This window comes from Homo sapiens, chromosome 17, assembly GCF_000001405.40.
Source record: "Homo sapiens chromosome 17, GRCh38.p14 Primary Assembly".
Lineage (NCBI taxonomy): Eukaryota > Metazoa > Chordata > Mammalia > Primates > Hominidae > Homo > Homo sapiens.
The window spans coordinates 5,192,007-5,208,623 of NC_000017.11; the positions used below are offsets into that span (position 1 = coordinate 5,192,007).

Here is a 16,617-nt window from a genome sequence, read left to right on the forward strand (position 1 = left end):
AGTCGGCGCTGGCGTAGCTCGGCTCAGCCCGGCGGAGTCTGACTTCCGGAGGGCCAGCGGCGCGCTGGCTGGTTACCAAGGTTACCGCCGAGAGGCCGCGTCCTCAGCTGGTCCTAGACATGCGTGGCGTCGGGGCTGTGGCACGGTCGGGTCCGGGGTGAGTGACCCCTTCAAGTAACTACGTTTTTGTTCTGCCCTTTTGTTTTGTTTTTGAGATGGAGTCTCGCTCTTTCGCCCAGGCCGGAGTGCAATGGCGCGATCTCGGCTCACTGCAGCCTCCATCTCCCAGGTTCAAGCGATTCTCCTGCCTCGGCCTCCCCAGTAGTTGGGATTACAGGCGCCCACCACCACGCCCTGCTAATTTTTGTATTTTTAGTAGAGACGGGGTTTCGCCATGTTGGCCAGGCTAGTCTCGAACTCCTGTTCTGCCTGTTCTGTTTTCATCTTTTGTTATTGTTCCCTGCATGCATTTGTGGTCTCATTCATTGATGACTTCTATTTGCAATGCCCGGTCAAAGGCTAGGCGATACAGATCCCAACAAGGACAGCTTAATGTTTAAAAGTGTAAGTTCCGAAGTGAGAAAGTCAGACACTCAGAATCCTTGCCCCACCACTTAGGGGCTATGTGACTTTGAACAAGTTACCTATTAATAGCTTCTTCGCGCCTCCGTTGCTTCATTTGTAAAGTGAGGTAAATAATAGGACCGACCTCACTGACATATGTATGTGAAGTTTGCATGTGGCGAAGGCCAGATACATATTAGTTATTACTATGGAGATGATGTTGGTTCGCGTAGCGTAGGATCGTGGTAAGGGTTATATATGTATGTAAAGATGTAAGATGTCCAACCCCAAGCCTTTCCGAAGCAAAACTGTCAGTGCACTAGTCACTTTGGCTTCTCATATCTCTCTGTCCCAAACTTTGGGTTGCACGAATTATGCACGTTTCACTCTTGAATTTGTAAATGCAGCTACTACCAACTATTCCTTAATTTGCACAACTACATTTGAGATAGTATTTCATTGACTGTGTTACATTTTCATTGAAATACTGAGCCATGTCTCAAATAGACTTCAATTATAGTTGCTTTTATAGTTCCTTTTGCTTTACCTCTCTTAATAAGAGTGCACTAATAGAAGTTACTCTTTGGAATTTAGAAATGGGTTTTTAAGGCAGGGCACGGTGGCTCACACCTGTAATCCCAGCACTTTGGGAGGCCTAGGAGGCCGCATCACTTGAGCTCAGGAGTTCAAGACCAGCCTGGCCAGCATGGTGAAACCCCCGTCTCTACTAAAAATGCAAAACAATTAACTGGCATGATGGCAGGCGCCTGTAGTTCCAGCTACTCGGGAGGCTGAGGCAGGAAAATAGCTTGAACCCGGGAGGTGGAGGTTGCAGTGAGCCGAGATGGAACCACTTCACTCCAGCCTGGGCAACAGAGCAAGACACTGTCTCAAAAAAATAAAAAAAAAAATAGACTGTTCCGTGTCCTCTGCTCCTAGAGGCCCAGCCTCTGTGGCCCTGTGACCTGCAAGTATTGAGAGATCCACAGCTAAGACACCGGGATCCTCTGGGAGGCAAAAATGAGTTAGAACTCATAAGTGGGAGTTGAACAATGAGAACACATGGATAGAGGGTGGGGAACATCACATACCAGGGCTGGTGGGGGGTGGGGGGCTGGGGGAGGGATAGCATTAGGAGAAATACCTAATGTAAATGACGAGTTGATGGGTGCAGCAAACCAACATGGCACATGTATACCTATGTAACAAACCTGCACGTTGTGCACATGTACCCTATAACTTAAAGTATAACAAATAAATAAAATAAAATAAATGGGTTTAAAAAAAATCGTACAGGCTGGGCGAGGTGGTTCATGCCTGTAATCCTAGCACTTTGGGAGGCTGAGGCGAGTGGATCACTTGAGGTTAGGAGTTCAAGACCAGCCTGGCCAACATGGTGAAACTCCGTCTGTACTAAAAAATAAAAAAAATAAAAAAAAATTAGCCGCGCATGGCAGCATGAGCCTGTAGTCCCAGCTACTAGGGAGGCTGAGGCGGGAGAGTGGCGTGAACCCAGGAGGCAGAGCTTAAGTAAGCCAAGATTTTGCCACTGCACTCCAGCCTGGGCGATAGAGCAAGACTCCGTCTCAAAAAAAAAATAAAATTATCTGGATGTCGTGGTGCGTGCTTGTAGTCTCAGCCACCTGGGAGTCTGAGGCAGGAGAATCGCTTGAATTGGAGAAGCGGAGGTTGCAGTGAGCCAAGATCGCGCCACTGCACTCCACCCTGGGTGACAGAGCGAGACTCTTCTCAAAAAAAAAGAAAAGAAAAAAGAAAAAAGAAGTGGTGTAGATCGTGAAAGTATTAAAAGGGAAAATATTTGTAACATGCATGATAGGAAAAGGGATAACATGCATGACATAAAAGAGCTCCACATGACTTCAGGTTCCCTGAGAGTGCCTTGGGTTTTCCTCAACATTCACTGTATCACCAGTGCCCGGCACAGAGCCAGCACTCCATACATATTTGTAGAATGAATAAATTACATAATGAATCCATGCTGCTGTCAGGGGTAGCATGTGAACTCTAAAGGAGATCAAAAAGAAGAGCTATTCTTTTTAAGACTAAAAAGCCAAAATAACCACTTTTGGCAAGACTTATATATTTCTCAATAAAAAAATGCAGCTGCTGTCTTCCCCACACCCACTGCCTCCCATTTTCATTTTTCTGGCTTATGCAGATCTCAGTTCTTAAAATAAATTTTTTTAAACTTTATTTTGTTATTTTAAAAGTAGTATAAGAATTACAAGAAAACATTCGTACACATGTAAAATGGTTCTGACGACAACTAACCCTGACAGATTTTTTTTTTTTTTTTTTTTAAGAGACAAGGTCTCACTCTGTCAGTGGCATGATCATAGCTCACTGCAGCCTCATCCTCCTGGGCTCAAGTGATCCTCCAGCCTTCTGAGTGGCTGGGACTACAGGTACTGCCACCATGCCTGGCTAATTTTGTTTTTAGTTTTTTGTAGATATGGGGTCTGCCTAGATCGACCAGGCTGTTCTGGAACTCCTGGCTTCAAGCAATCCTGTCACCTTAGACTCCCAGAGTGCTGGGATTACAAGCATGAGCCAAACCTGCCACCACTCCTGGCCTACCAGATTTCTTTTCTTTTCTTTTCTTTTTAACTGAGATGGGAGGCTCCACTCTGTGGCCCACGCTGGAGTATGGCGGTGCAATCACAGGTCAGTGCAGCTTCAAACTCCCAGGCTGAAACAATCCTCCCACCTCAGCATCCCAAGTAGCTGAGACCACAGGTGCACACCACAACACCCAGAAAATGTTTGTACTTTTGGAGAAACTGAGTCTCACTATGTTGCCCAGGCTAGTCTTGAACTCCTGGGCTCAAGCAATCCTCCCATCTCAGCCTCCCAAACCCAAACTGCTGGGATTTCAGGCGTGAGCCACCGTGCCCGGTCTTGGAGCTTATTTTATTTTATTTTATTTTATTTTATTTGAGACAGAGTCTTGCTCTGTCACCAGGCTGGAGTGCAGTGGTGTGATCTCAGCTCACTGCAACCTCTGCCTCCTGGGTTCAAGCGATTCTCCTGCCTCAGCCTCCTGAGTAGCTGGGACTACAGGCGCGCACCACCACACCTGGCTAATTTTTGTATTTTTAGTAGAGACGGGGTTTCACCATGTTGGCCAGGATGGTCTCGATCTCTTGACCTCACGGTCTGCCTGCCTCAACCTCCCAAAGTGCTGGGATTACAGGCATGAGCCACTGAGCCTGGCCCTCTTTACTGTCTTATGCGGTCACTCAACACAATACTTCTGACACCAGATGGGTGGGGGCTTTCTCCACATACTGAGCAATTCTCTAGCAGACACCAGATAGCTGTCCTCTAATTCAATTCAATCTGACACTATCTACCTGGAGATAGTGTTAGATCCCGCAGTCCCACAAGACTACTGCCCACTTCAGATGCCAATTGTAAACTCTTGGCTGTGACCTGTATTTCTGACAAACTGGCTCTAAAGTGAGGTTCCCACAAATCCCTCCTAGGGTTTGCCAGGACAGCTCACAGAACTCAGGGAAACACCTTACTTATATTTACCCATTTATGATAAAGGATATTACAAAGGATATAGGTTAATAACCAGATGGAAGAGATGCATAGGGCAAGGTATGCAGAAAGGTGTGTGGCACTTCCATGCCCTCTCTGAGTGCCATCCTCCAGGAACCATCCACCATCCTCCATGTGATCAGCTATCTGGAAGCTCCTAGAACTCTATCCTTTGGGGTTTTTATGAAGGCTTCATTACATAGGCATGATTGATTAAATCATTGGCCATTGGTGATGAACTCAACCTTCAGCCCCTCTCCCTCCCCTCCCTTGGAGATCCTGCCTTGATCTTTTTGGCAACTAGCCCCCGTCCTGAAGTTATCTAGGGGCTCCCAGCCATCAGCCATCTCAGCAGCATACAAAAGACAGTTTTTGTCTGTTTGTTTTTGTAGTTTTGAGATGGAGTCTCACTCTTGTTGCCCAGGCTAGAGTACAATGGCACGATCTCGGCTCACCGCAACCTCCGCCTCCCGGGTTCAAGCGAGTCTCCTGCCTCAGCCTTCTAGAGTAGCTGGAATTACAGGCATGCGCCAGCACACCCGACTAATTTTGTATTTTAAGTAGAGGCAGGGTATCTCCTTGTTGGTCAGGCTGGTCTCGAACTCCCAACCTCAGGTGATCCTCCTGCCTCAGCCTCCCAAAGTGCTGGGATTACAGGCATAAGCCACTGTGCCTGGCCATTTGTTTGTTTTTGCTTTGAGATGGAGTCTTGCTCTGTTGCCCAGGCTGGAGTGCAGTGGCACAATCTCGGCTCACTGCAACCTCTGCTTCCTGGATTCAAGCGATTCGCCTGCTTCAGCCTCCAGAGTAGCTGCAACTACAGGCGCGCGCCAACATGCCCAACTAATTTTTGTATTTTTAGTAGAGACGAGGTTTCGCCATGTTGGCCAGGCTGGTCTCAAACTCCTGACCTCAGGTGATCCACCCAGGTCGGCCTCCTCAAGTGCCGTAATTACAGGCCTGAGCCACCGCGCCAGGGCCCCATGTGTGAACTTCTTAATACACCACTAGGTGGCAGTGATTTGCAGCCCGTGGTTGTATTAAACAGACTTTTTTTTTTTTTTTTTTTTTTTTTTGAGACGAAGTCTTGCTCTTGTTGCCCAGGTTGGATGGAGTGCAATGGCCTGATCTTGGATCACCACAACCTCTGCCTACCAGCTTCAAGCAATTCTCCTGCCTCAGCATCCCACATTGCTGGGATTACAGGCATGTGCCATGATGCCCGGCTAATTTTTGTATTTTTAGTAGAGACGGGGTTTCTCCATGTTGGTCAGGCTGGTCTCGAACTCCCAACCTCAGGTGATCCACCCACCTCGGCCTCCCAAAGTGCTGAGATTACAGGCGTGAGCCACCACGCCCTGCCTAAAGAGACATCTTAAATACGCCTTTATTTTTAGACAATAGAAAAATAAGCTTCCCATTATGCAAGAGTCCTATGGCCTTTGTGCTTTCCTACCCTGTGAACTAAGAGTCTAAATCTGTGAAAAGATGTCCATGAGGTAGAGTTGAATTAAAATAGCAGGTTGCAGAACAATATTTGTACCTCCTCACTTTCTTCTTTTCTGCCTCTCTCCCTTCCTTCTCTACTTCCACAAAAGTTGACTGAGCACCTATTGTGTGCTAATATATGCTAAGTTACTGGAAATGCAATGGTGAGCAAAGCAACACCAGTGTAGTCCCTGTGGATCTTATAGTCCCTCATTGATGGACAGATAGGTTGGTTCCACCTTCTCATTATAACAAATAATACTACAAAGAACGTTTTATACATACACTTGAGTTTCTCTAGGGCAGTGGTTCTCAAAGAGTGGTCTGGGCCATGAGACCAAAACAATTTTCATAATAATATTAAGATGTTATTTGGCCTTTTTCATGCTCACTCTTCTCACGAATGTTCAATGGACCTTTCCATGAGGCTACATGACATACGACATTGCAACAAATTGATGGCAGAAGCAGATAGGAGAATTCAGATGTTTTCTATTAAGCCAGATATGAGATTTGAAAAAAAAAATGTAACATACACAGTGACACTTTTCTCACTAATTTTTTTGTTTGGGAAAATATAGTTATTTTATTATTTTTTGGAGAGAGGGTCTCACTCTGTTGCCCAGGCTGGAGTGCAGTGGCACCATAGCTCACTGCAGCCTCAAACTCGTGGGCTCAAGTGATCCTCCCGCCTCTGCCTCCCAAGTAGCTGGGACTACAGGTGCTCACCACTATGCCTGGCTAACGTTTTTATTTTTAGTTTTTGTAGAGATTGAGTCTTGCTATGTTGCCCAGGCTGGCCTCTAACTCCTGGGCTCAAGCAGTCCACCCACCTCAACCTCCTAAGTAGGTGGATCTACAAGCTCTCACCACTGAGCCTGGCTCCCTCCATCATTTTTAAGTGCAATGGAGACCTGGTACCAAGTGGTTTGAGACTCACTGTTCTAGGGCAAGGGTCCCCATTGCCCGGGCCTGGACCAGTACAGTCTGTGGCCTGTTAGGAACCAGGCTGCACAGCAGGAAGTAAGTGGAGGGCAAGCGAGCATTACTTCCTGAGCTCTGCCTCCTGTTAGATCAGGGGCGGTATTACATTCTCATAGGAGCACGAACCTTATTGTGAACTGCACACATGAGGACTCTGGGTTGCACGCCTTTTACGAGAATGTAATGGCTGATGATCTGAAGTGGAGCAGTTTCATACCAAAACCATTCCCCCCTTTCCTCCCAACCCGTCCCTAGTGCCAAAAAGGTTGGGGACTGCTGTTCTATGGTATCTATCCCGAAGTGGAGTTGCTGTGTTTTACAGTGTCCACAATTTCAGTTTTACTAGGTGTTGCCAAATTGCTCTCCAAAGTGGCTGAAGCTAATTTATTATTTTTTTTAAATTTATTTTGAGATGGTGTCTTGCTCTGTTGCCAGGCTGGAGTGCAGTGTCGCGATCTTGGCTCACTGCAACCTCCGCCTCCTGGATTCAAGTGATTCCCCTGCCTCAGCTTCCCGAGAAGCTGGGATTATAGGCGCGCACTCCCACGCCCAGCTAATTTTTTGTATTTTAGTAGAGACAGGGTTTCACCATGTTGGCCAGGCTGGTTTCAAACTCCTGACCTCGTGATCCACCCACCTCAACCTCCCAAAGTGCTGGGATTATAGGTGTGAGCCACTGCGCCTGGCCTTTTTTTTTTTTTTTTTTTTTTTTTTTTTCTTAAGAAGGAGTCTCAGTCCATCTCCCAGGCTGGAGTGCAGTGGTGCAATCTTGGCTCACTGCACCTTCCACCTGCCAGGTTCAAGCAATTCTCCTGTCTCAGCCTCCTGAGTAGCTGGGATTATAGGCACGCACCACCACACCTGACTATTTTTTTTATATATTTAGTAGAGATGGGGTTTCATCATGTTGGCCAGGCTGGTCTCAAACTCCTGACCTCAAGCCATCCGGCCTCTCAAAGTGCTGGGATTACAGGCGTGAACCACCTCAACTGGTCAAAAGCTAATCTTAAAAAACAAAAAACAAACAAAAAAAACCCCAAAAATACCAGGCCGGGTACGGTGGCTCACGCCTGTAATCCCAGCACTTTGGGAGGCCTCAGTGGGTGGATCACAAGGTCAGGAGTTCAAGACCAGACTAACCAATATGGTGAAACCCCATCTCTACTAAAAATACAAAAATTAGCTGGGCATGGTGGTGCACGCCTGTAGTCCCAGCTACTCAGGAGGCTGAGGCAGGAGACTCACTTGAACCCAGGAGGCAGAGGTTGCAGTGAGCCAAGATCGCGCCACTGCACTCCAGCCTGAGCGACAGAGCAAGACTCTGTCTCAAAAAAAAAAAAAGAAAGAAAAAAACCAACCAAACAAACAAACAAAAAAACTGGCTGAGGAGGACAAATCACTTGAGCCCAGGAATTTGAGGCCAGCCTGGGCAACATGGCAAAACCCCATCTCTACAGAAAATAATTTTAAAAGTTAGTTAGAAGCCTTTACTAACTTAGGGGAAAAAAAAATTAGCCAGGCATGGTGGTGCATGCCTGTGGTCCCAGTTACTTGGGAAGCTGAGGTGGGAGGATGGCTTCAGCCTGGGAGGCAGAGGTTGCAGTTAGCTGAGATTGTGCCGCTGCACTCCAGCCTGGGTGACAGAGTAAGACCTTGTCTCAAAAAAAAAAAAAAAAAAGTACATATCCTTGATGTTTTTGTCGTTGTTTTTCCCAAATCTCAAATTGTAAAGAATTGTGAAATTATTAGACTAGTAAAAGAAAAAAAAATAAAGTAGACTAGTGATACAATACAACAGTGAGTTGCTGTATGAAATGTTCATTTTCTTTTCTAAACAATACTGTGAAAAGCAGGGTCACATTTATCTTAAATGTTCTCAGAGGAAGTTTTTCTTGGTCACTGAGAATGGCTTTGTACAGTATCAACATTACATGTATCGGAAAATTTATTTTTGTTTGGGGGCTCATTGGGGATAAAAGTGTACAAGTTATGCAAATAAACCTTTTTTAACATCAGGGGAATTTCGTTATTCTTAAATACTACCTTCTGCAATTTTTGTTAAAACCATGTTCCACTAACACCTAATTTGTAAAAAAAAAAAAAAAAATACAGAGGGATCTAGTGTTAAAACAACTTAAAGGCTGTTAGTTTATAGTTCACTTTGTAAATGAGAGTTTATTTTTACCAGTTTAGGGCTTTTTAAAATTATTCATAGAATATTTAATTGTTCAAGTGTAGCTGATCTAAAACTTTAATGGCATTAAATTTTGGCAATGGAATATGTTGATCAGGCTGGGCGCAGTGGCTCATGCCTGTAATCCTAACACTTTGTGAGGCCGAGACAGGTGGATCACCTGAGGTCAGGAGTTCGAGACCAGCCTGACCAATATGGCGAAACCCGATCTCTACTAAAAATACAAAAATTAGCCGGACGTGGTGGTGGGAGCCTATAATCCCAGCTAGAAAAAAAGAAATACGTTGGTCAATATGAGAGGTTGAGTTTTACAGTTGAAGGGGAAGGGTGCAGCGATATTAATTGGCTGTTTCTGACAGTAGTTTGGCACATAGTTGTATGTACACTCTGCTCCAGTAAAATGAAATGCGACCACAGTCAACGGTTACCTATTTATGCTGGAGGGTGTTTGGCAATCAACTGTTAATTTAAGTGAGATTCCATTCTGCCGCTTAGCCATGGCAGAGCACACACATGTGCACTCAGGGAAAGCAGATGGAATAGGTTATAAACAGAAGCAAACTCCAATTCAGGAGACATGTTCACGCAGAAATAGTACTATGATGCAACATACATCACAAAAACAAATGGAAATTGTGTTTGTTTGTTTTTGAGATACAGTCTTGCTCTTTCGCCAGGCCAGAGTGCAGTGGCACAATCTCAGCTCACTGCAACATCCATCTCCCAGGTTCAAGCGATTCTCCTGCCTCAGCCTCCCGAGTAGCTGGGACTACAGGTGCGCACAACCACGCCAGCTAATTTTTGTATTTTTAGTAGAGACGGGGTTTCATCATCTTGGCCAGGATGGTTTCGATCTCCTGACCTTATGATCCGCCTCAGCCTCCCAAAGTACTGGGATTACAGGCGTGAGCCATGGCGCCCGGCAAGAAATTTTTTTTTAAATCTGTCTTTAGGGGATTATCTAGCTATTAGTGGGGTTAAATGAGGGAACTGTCGCCTCGGCAGAAGAGATGGTCCACTGTATTCATTTGTCATAATAACCAGACTCCTGGAGTTACTGGGTTCTAAAGTTGTTGATACAGCATGAATAGGTTTGGATGTGGAGTTCTGTATGGAGGATCCTTTCAACGGGAAGATAAACCAAAATTGTTGGTCGTAGCCTTTTGGACTACTGACTTAAGAGATTATTTGAATCTCTTTAAAGAGTCAAAATTGGCTGGGCGCGGTGGCTCATGCCTGTAATCTCAGCACTTTGGGAGGCCAGGGCAGGTGGATTGCTTGAGGTCAGGAGCTCAAGACCAGGCTGGCCAACATAGTGAAACCCCATCTCTACTAAAATACAACGATTAGCCAGGTGTGGTGGTGGGCACCTGTAATCCCAGCTACTTGGGAGGCTGAGGCAAGATAATCGCTTGAACCTGGGAGGCGGAGGTTGCAGTGAGCTGAGATCGAGCCACTACACTCTCAGCCTGGGTGACAGAATGAGGCTCTGTCTCACACACAAAATAAGCCTGTATTGTTGTAAATAGATTGTGAAGGGTGATTCTGGTGAGGGCTCAGAAGAAGAGGAGAGCTACAGAGAAAGCCTCAGTTTTCTTAGAGATTACCTAAGAGGTTGTACCAGAAGGCTAGTAGAAGTATGGATGTTAAAGGCCATTCTGATGAGGTCTCAGATGGAAATGAAGAACATGTTATTGGAAACTGGCAGAAAAATGATCCTGATTATCTGGCAAAGAATGTGGCTGAATTGTATGTCCTAGTGTTTTATGGAAGGTAGAAATTCTGAGTGATGAAATAGGATATTCGGTGGAAAAAATATCTGAGTAAAGTGTTGAGAGTGCGGCAAAGCTTCTCTTGAATGCCTGTAGTAAAATGCTAGCAGAGAGAAACCAATTAAAGATGGTCTTTCTTTCTCTTTCTCTCTCTCTCTCTCTTTCTCTCTCTCTCTCTCTTTCTTTCTGAGACAGAGTTTTGCTCTTTTTGCCCAGGCTGGAGTGCAGTGGCGCGATCTTGGCTCACTGCAACCTCCACCTCCTGGGTTCAAGTGATTCTCCTGCCTCAGCCTCCTGAGTAGCTGGGATTACAGGTTTGTGCCACGACGCCTGGCTAATTCTGTATTTTTAGTAGAGACGGGGTTTCACCATGTTAGCCAGGCTGGTCTCGAACTTCTAACCTCAGGCGATGTGCCCTTCTCAGCCTCCCAAAATGCTGGGATGACAGGCATGAGCCACCGCCCCCGGCCAAAGATGTTATTTATGATTTAAAAAGCAGCAGAATTTAAATATTTAGAAATTTACCAACCTGCCCATGTTGTAAAGAATGAAAAAGCTTGTTGAAGAGAAAACACCAAGAATGTGACCAAGGAAACTTTTGATAAGGAGGTTAGTGTGGGGAGATGGAAGCCAGATGCTCAGCATCACAGCGAAGAAGGACCCTGAAACCATTCCGAAGATCTTTAGAGGCTGCCCTGCCCATCACAGGCCCAGAAAACTAGGACCTTGAAGTCAAAGCGATTTCAAGGCTCTGCTCCCTGCATTCTGGTGCAGGGCTCCTGGCATACCCTAGCTGTGACTCAAGTGGGCCCAGCTGTGACTCAGGCCATCCCTCTGGGAGGCATAGACAGTAAAGCATGGTGGTGTCCAAGCAGTTTTATCTCCACAGCTGCGCAAAGTGCATGGGCTGTGAGGGCATTGCTACCTCTACCTAGATTTCAAAGGATTCCTGGGGGAATCTTGAGGCCCAGACGGAGCACCGCCAAAGGGGCAGGGCCACTGCGGAGAGCCCCCACTAGGGCAATGCCCAGCACAGCCATGGGGACGGGGGTGCCTCCAAGACCCCAGAATGTTAGGGCCACCAGCGTGCAACTCCAGCCTGGGAAAGCTGCAGGTCCGAGACTCCAACTCATGAAAGCTGCAGAGTGGGCTGTGCCCAGCAAAGCCATGGGGGGGCCGCCCCGAGTCTTGGAGGCCCAACCCCCATCCCAATATCTGGGGGGTAGGACGTCAAGTCAAACATTATTCTCAAACCTTAAGACTTAATGTTGTTTGCCATGTTGAGTTTCGGACTTACTTGGGACCCATCACCCCTTTCTTCTTTCCTATTTCTCCCTTTTGGAATGGAAATTTCTATCCTATGTCAGTCCCACCATTGTATTTTGGAAGCATACTTACATTGTATAAGTAGTTTGATTTCACAGGCTCATAATTGGAGAGCAATTTGCCTCAGGATGAATCATATCTTGACTTTTGCCCAGACTTGGAATGAGTCAACATTTAGTTGAGATGTTGACTTAGACTTTAAAGCTGTTATTGGAATGAGTTAAGACTTTTAGGGCTATTGGGATGGAATAAATCTATTTTGCATTTGAGAAGGACATGGATTTTGTGAGGTCATGGGCAGAATGCTATGGTCTATGTTTGTGTCCCCACAGAATTCGTATGTTGAAATCTAACCCCCAAGATGATGGTATTAAGAAGCAGGGTGTTTGGGGTGATTAGATCATGAGGGCCCTGCCCTCATGAATGGGATGAATGCCCTTATGAAAGAGGACCCAGGCTGGGTGCGGTGGCTCATACCTGTAATCCCAGCATTTAGGGAGGCTGAGACAAGAGGATTATTTGAGTCCAGGAGTTCAAGACCAGCCTGGGCAACATAGTGAGACTCCATCTTTACCAAAAAAAAGGAAGAAAGAAAGAAAAAAAATAGGCCGGGCGCGGTGACTCATGCCTGTAATCCCAGCATTTTGGGAGGCCGAGGCAGGTGGATCATGAGGTCAGGAGATCAGGACCATCCTGGCTAACATGGTGAAACCCTGTCTCTACTAAAAAAATGCAAAAAAATTATCCAGTTGTGGTGGCAGGTGCCTGTAGTCCCAGCTACTTGGGCGGCTGAAGCAGGAGAATGGTGTGAACCCAGGAGGTGGAGCTTGCAGTGAGCTGAGATCATGCCACTGCACTCCAGACTGGGCGACAGAGCAAGACTCCGTCTCAAAAAAAAAAAAAAAAAAACAGCCAGGTGTGGTGGCATGTGCCTGTAGTTCCAGCTACTCAGGAGGCTGAGGTGAGAGGATCACCTGAACCCAGGAGTTTGAGGCTGCAGTGAGCTATGATTGTGCTGCTGCACTCCAGCCTGGGTGACAAAGTAAGACTCTGTCTCAAAAAATAAAATAATATAAAAGAGGCCCCAGAAAGCTGTCTTCCCCTTCTATCATGTGAAGACACGGTGAGAAGGTGTGAAGCACAGAGTGAGCCCTCACCAAACACCAAATCTGCTGGCGCCTTGATCTTGGACTCCCCAGCCTCCAGAACTCTCAGCAACATTTCTGTTTTTAACAAATTATCCAGTCTAAGGAATTTTGTTATAGTAGACCAAATGGACTAAAACCCTGGGTATGTGGACCACTCCAGGCCAATGAGACATTAGGGAAAGTTGCTGGGGGCTCACCTCCCTAATAAAACGATACAGCCAGGCGCGGTGGCTCACATCTGTAATCCCAGCATGTTGGTAGGCTGAGGCAGGTGGATCATGAGGTCAAGAGATCAAGATCATCCTGGCCAACATGGTGAAACCCTGTCTCTACTAAAAATACAAAAATTAGCTGGGTGTGGTGGTCCCAGCTACTCAGGAGGCTTAGGCAGGAGAATCGCTTGAACCCAGGAGGCAGAGGTTGCAGTGAGCCAAGGTCGCACCACTGCACTCCAGCCTGGTGACAGAATGAGACTCCATCTCAAAAAAAAAAAAAAAAAAGATACATGTTAGTAATGCACATTTTCTTTCTAACTTTGAATGTTATCATGTACAGATGCTTGGAGCTGTGGCAGCTATTTTGCCACCATGAGGATAAGGCTAAGCAATTTGAAATTAGTCCACACCCCTAAATTATGGAGCTGCTGAATTCTGGAGTGTTTACCTCTAGACTTCTTGCTTTGTGAAATTATAAACTCCTCATTGTGTAAGTTATCTTTAGTTGGATAGTCTGTTCTTTGCAGCCTAAAGCATCCTATCGAATACACATGATTTGTAAAATTTGTTGTTGGTAATACCAGTGCATTTCCTGAAAACAATCTTGTTTGTATTGCAAAGAAGATCAGATAGTAATTATTATAAGGAAAACTATAATCCACTGATTTGTGGTATGAGTAAAGCATCAGTTCTTTTTTTTTTTTCAAGACAGAGTCACTCTATCGCCCAGGCTGGGGCACAGTGGTGCGATTTCGGCTCACTGCAACCTCCACCTTCCAGCTTCAAGTGATTCTCCTGTCTCAGCTTCCTGAGTAGCTGGGATTACAGGCGCCCGCCACCATGCCCAGCTAATTTTAGTATTTTTAGTAGAGATGGGGTTTCACTATGTTGGCCAGGCTAGTCTCAAACTCCTGACCTCAAGTGATCCGCCTGCCTTGGCCTCCTAAAGTGCTGAGATTACAGGCATGAGCCACCGCACCTGGCCAAGCATCAGTTCTTAAAACAGTTAAGGTGGCAGAACAGGAGTTCTTTCAAAATGATGATTTTCAGTATTTGTGGGTATTTCAACATCATCATAGTCATCTTCAGGTTCAATATAGCTCAGGATGGAAACTATCTCCTTATTTCTTTTTTTTTTTTTTTTGAGACAGAGTCTCACTGTTGCCCAGGCTGGAGTGCAATGTCATGATCTTGGCTCATTGCAACTCTGCCTCCCAGATTCAAGCAATTCTCCTGCCTCAGCTTCCCAAGTAGCTGGAATTACAGGTGCCCGCCACCATGCCCGGCTAATTTTTTGTATTGTTAGTAGACACGGGGTTTCACCATCTTGGCCAGGCTGGTCTCGAACTCCTGACCCCCGGTGATCCACCTGCCTCGGCCTCCCAAAGTGCTGGGATTCCAGGCGTGAGTCACTGCGCCCAGCCCTTATTTCTAACTTTATTTATTGATGAGTATGTATTCAATAGGTAACTTGGGGATTCCTGTGGTGCTGGACTATACAAAAAGATCCTATTAAATCTTGATATATTTAAATCTCATCCAAACTGGTAACAATTTCCCTAGTAGAAAACTTGGCTTTATTATACGTTCCCAGTATAAAATCTCAGCCAAATTACACATGTCCAGAGGAAAAAAAATTGTTTTGTCAAACCAATTGGTAGATTTTCCATGAATGTTCAACAGTCAATAAATATTGCCTACCATGTGCCAGGTTTTGTGCTGGACATTGGGAATACAGCACTGAGACAATTTCCATCCCAAAGGAGCCCCCAGATTAGAAAGGAGGATGGAAAGTAACCAGGTAATTATAATTATAATATATAATAATTATAATACAAAGGGAGAAGTATTTCCATAGGGCCAAGTATGGGAGCTGTGAGAGCTCAGAGTTCATTGATTCATTCATTCAACCCAGTTGATTATTCAACATATTTATTGAGCATCTACAATGTACCTGGGCACTGTGCTAGGAACAGGGAAAACAGTAGAGGAAAGAAGGACACATTCCCTGCCCTCATGTTGCTTTGGGTCTAGTGGAGGAGAGAGACAGATAAGCAATAATTATAACATGCTAATGCTATGAAAGGAGAGCATCCAGGAGGCACCAACCCAAGTTGGGTCATGAGGAAAGGGTAGCCAAGATGAAATGGGAAGGATCCAAAGGTGGGGAAGAATGTTTCATACAGAGGAATAGCGCTGTGCACAGGGCAAGAGGGACCATAGTGAAGGTCATTTTATTTTATTATTATTATTTTTTTTTTGAGATGGAGTCTTGCTCTGTCACCCAGGCTAGAGTGCAGTGGTGCAACCTAGGCTCACTGCAACCTCTGCCTCCCAGGTTCAGGTGATTCTCCTGCCTCAGCCTCCCGAGTAGCTGGGATTACAGGCATGTGCCACCACACCCGGCTGCGTTTTGTATTTTTAGTAGAGACGGGGTTTCACCATCTTGGCTAGGCTGGTCTCAAACTCCTGACCTCATGATTCACCCACCTCGGCCTCCCAAAGTGCTGGGATTACAGGTGTGAGCCACTGCGCCCGGCCTGTGAAGGTCATTTTAAGTGGCTGGAGCAAAAAACTTGGGCAGAGTGGAGGTTGCAAGGGGGTTGGGGGAGAAGAGTTTGGCAAAAGATAATCAGTGACCAGATCCTGACAAATCTTGTAAGCCATGTTAAAGAGTTTGGTCTTTTTCTGGGGTTAACGGGCAAAGAGAAGATTTAAGCAAAGGAATGAAGTGGTCAGATGTTCACTTTAGGAAGTCACTGGGTGCCATGTAGAAAGTGGACGGCAGGTGAGGTGCCAGAGGCAGGGGAGCAGTCAGGGGGCTGTTGATATTCTCCTGGCAAGCGCTGGCAATTGTCTGACCTCAGAACAGTGACGGAGAGACGTGGACTCATTGGAGAACCACGTGGGAGGCACAAGTAACATGGGGAGCTCTGGAAACAAAGCAGTGTGGGGAGAAGGATACTAGTTTCTGACTTCAGCAACTAAGAAGATAGTAGAGCACAAGACATTTGGGACTGGAGGTAGGTCATCAGTTCCTTTTGGTGTTTGCTGAACTTGAGGGGGTGTGTGGGGCAGTCACAACGAGATGTCTTAGAGGCAACCCAGCTGGGGAGAAAGAGCTCAGCTGAAGTCAGAATAGAGGGGGCAGCTGGGCGTGGTGGCTCACACTTGTAATCCCAGCACTTTGGGAGGCTGAGGCAAGCGGATCACTTGAGGTCAGGAGTTCAAGACCAGCCTGGCCAGCATGGTGAAACCCCGTCTCTACTAAAAACAAACAGAAAATTAGCCGGGTGCAGGCGTGTTGGCACACACCTGTAATCCCAGCTACTCAGGAGGCTGAGGCAGGAGAATCGCTT

At 46.1% G+C, this 16,617-nt stretch overlaps 1 long non-coding RNA gene across 2 annotated transcripts in view, besides 1 other annotated feature; it reads left to right on the forward strand.

Annotated features, from left to right (window-relative positions):
• The window catches only part of ZNF594-DT (ZNF594 divergent transcript), a 43,997-nt gene continuing 27,380 nt past the window's right edge, over positions 1-16,617 (forward strand). For both annotated transcript variants that reach the window (NR_034082.2, NR_152840.1), the window contains exon 1: positions 1-157. This is a non-coding gene — a long non-coding RNA (ZNF594 divergent transcript). The remainder of the gene's footprint in view (positions 158-16,617) is intronic.
• Positions 16,423-16,602: a silencer, noted in NCBI's record as "silent region_8066". NCBI's record gives its function as "represses an Ori minimal core promoter by ATAC-STARR-seq in GM12878 lymphoblastoid cells {active_cell/tissue: GM12878}" and the evidence as "EXISTENCE:reporter gene assay evidence [ECO:0000049][PMID:35858748]".